This window comes from Homo sapiens, chromosome 3 (genome assembly GCF_000001405.40).
Source record: "Homo sapiens chromosome 3, GRCh38.p14 Primary Assembly".
In the NCBI taxonomy this organism is placed as follows: domain Eukaryota; kingdom Metazoa; phylum Chordata; class Mammalia; order Primates; family Hominidae; genus Homo; species Homo sapiens.
This window is the reverse complement of record NC_000003.12, coordinates 51,834,236-51,837,126: the sequence shown is the minus strand read 5'-3', so window position 1 is coordinate 51,837,126 and position 2,891 is coordinate 51,834,236.

Below are 2,891 nucleotides of genomic sequence, written 5' to 3'. Positions count from 1 at the left end.
CTTAGAGTGAGAAGAATCTAGAAAGGAAGTTAGAGGAGGTTGATGATTAATATGAATTACAGCCTGTAGATTAAGAGAAGTGGGGATAATAGCTTGCTCTAGTAATTACCTTGTAGTAAACTTTTTATGTATTGTGATTGGCCACTACCTTGAGGATTCAGTGACAAAACAGAGTGGACTTGCCATGGGGCAGGTATGGATCTGAGCGGCAGAAGCTGTTGGTGTACTGCTCATGTCTACTCAACACTCATCTCTAGACACAGAACTGCTTATTGAGGATGTCTGACACTTTCTGCCTGAGGGCCCTTTCCTGGTCGTAAGCGAATAAGGAATTCATTCATGGAGAAAAATGAAATTGCGGAGAAGTTCATGTTCCCTGAAGCAGCTCTCAAGCAATGATTGATGGAGAGTTGGTGGATAAATATTCTCGTTACCCTTATGTGGAATAACTCAAGTGTGGTGTACACTGTCCCAGAATTACCAGAAAGTTGAGCCCCATGGCTCACATGAGTAACTTGCTATAGAAAGTACTTTTTGTAGGCTTTTTTCCCTTCTCTATTTTCTTCCTCACTGCCTCACTTTTCTGTTTCTTTCTCACTCCTACAGTGTTTGCTGTGATCACCTCTCAACCAAACTACTCACACTTGAATCCTTATTTCAGAATCTGCTTCTAGTGCAACCCAAAGTACAAGTGTAAAGAAAATAATTAATTGTGCTAATGGCATAGAAATGAAGATGTTTCAGCATTGGAGAAAGAGAAATATAAAATAACAAGTAAAAATCTGTAATCTTAAATTTGATTTGGAAATTTTAATATAGACTCATTTTTTTTCTTTTAAAAGAGATTTTCTAACTCTGTTTCTTGAAATGACCAACTTAATAGCAACAAAAACTGACACTAGGCTGGGTGCGGTGGCTCACTCCTGTAATCCCAGCACTTTAGGAGGCCAAAGCAGGCGGATCACAAGGTCAGGAGTTTGAGACCAGTCTGGCCAACATAGTGAAACCCCATCTCTACTAAAAACACAAAAAATTAGCTGGGCGTGGTGGCGGGCATCTGTAATCCCAGTTACTTGGGAGACTGAGGCAGGAGAATCGCTTGAACCTGGGAGGCAGAGGTTGCAGTGAGCCAAGATCACGCCATTGCATTCCAGCCTGGGTGACAGGGCAAGACTCCGTCAAAACAAAACAAAACGAAACAAACAAACAAACAAAACCCCAAAAACTCCTGACACCCAAGTTGTGGTTTGTAAACACCATTTCCCACTAAAAGCAATCAGAGGTCTTTGGAGAAGTGGCTGATTTCAGGTCTAGTGAAGAAAATGTATGCAATGAACCTGAGTATCTTATACTAGAAAGAAAGAACGTTATCAAAGACTACTCTGACTATTTTAAAAGGAGACAGAAGCCAACTTGGAGGGGCTGCCATGGGCCTAAAATGGGAGAGTTTAAGATTCAAAAGTATAATATCAGTGGAATAAAACAAATCAACTATGTTAAAATCCATAATTTCGTAATAATATTAAAAAGCAAAAAAAACTCACTAGTCATTTTAAAATTTTTTATTAATTTTTTTTGTGAAGCACCTGTCTGCTATTTAATCATTAGTCACTTCTGAATGCCAGATAAACAATGGAAAAGAAAGGGAAAGAATAAAGGTTTTGATCTTGTCTTTTCTGCACAAACTATATTTCAGGACAATAAAATTGTTGATGAATTGATAAATTGTTCTATTTAGAGTAATACCAACTAACAAATGAAGAAAAAAGCGGAAGAAACAAAATACCATTTGAATCTGGACAGGGCCAGGTTTTATGTGGCATATTTTAAAGGTGATTGATTGGTGATGAGTTTACAATTGTTGAAGCTAGCTGATGGATACATGTGGGTTCATTATTCTCTTTACATGTATGTCTAAAAGGGGGATATTTTCCATTTTTTTAAAAGCTCTTTATCCTCAGGTTGCAGTATGTGTAAAAGAAAAAAAACCCTTTAAAAAGAATATCATGGCTGCAGCTTCAATTAATGAAATAATAGCTTGATGATATTAACCCTCCCATAGATAGCAATATAAAATCTGGATAAAATATTTTGATAAAAGAGAACTATTTGAAGGTACTGGAGAGTGGCCCAAAGGAGGCAGAAACTGGAGGAAAGTTGAGGTCTGAAACATACAAACTGCACGGGTTGAGTTAAGAATATTTGTATCTTTTTTTTCTTCAGGACACTCCAAATCCTCATAGTGAAGGGTGGCAAAAAGCCAGTCTTTTTGCTTTAGGGTTCAGAAGACAGAAGTCAGCTATGGCAGAGTGGCTGACAAATGAGGGAAAGGGAGTAGAAAGTGAAATCCATGAAAGAAGGGAGCTTCAGAGAGGACAAGCCCAGAATCTGCATGTAGGCTCTTCCCAACCACTTGGCTGACCATTGAACAATAAACATGGGGGAGAGACTCCAGAGGACCCAGAAGAGAGACAAGCTGGTAGCTCAAAGAACTTGGCAGAGATTTCAACTGTTGGCCACTGCATGTGAGGCAAAATTTGGAGTTAGATTCCAAAAAATTTAAAACCTGGTAGAAAATATATCAACATTCCTTAGAGAAATATAGCTGAATCAAGGGTCTTAATAAAATGTTATTTATAATGTTCACCACACAAATAAAACACTATCAGATGTATGAAAACCCAGGAAAGTATGACCCATGGTGAAGAAAAAAAGTAGCCAAAAGGAGCAAATCCCAAGATAACAAATATTTAGAATAAGCAGATAAGGTCTTTAAAGCAGCCATTATAAGTGTGCTCGGGGACTTCAGATGGGGAATCGTACTGGTAGAATTAAAATGATAAAAAACAAATAATTGTAGAATTAAGAAGCACAATAACCAAAATAAAATA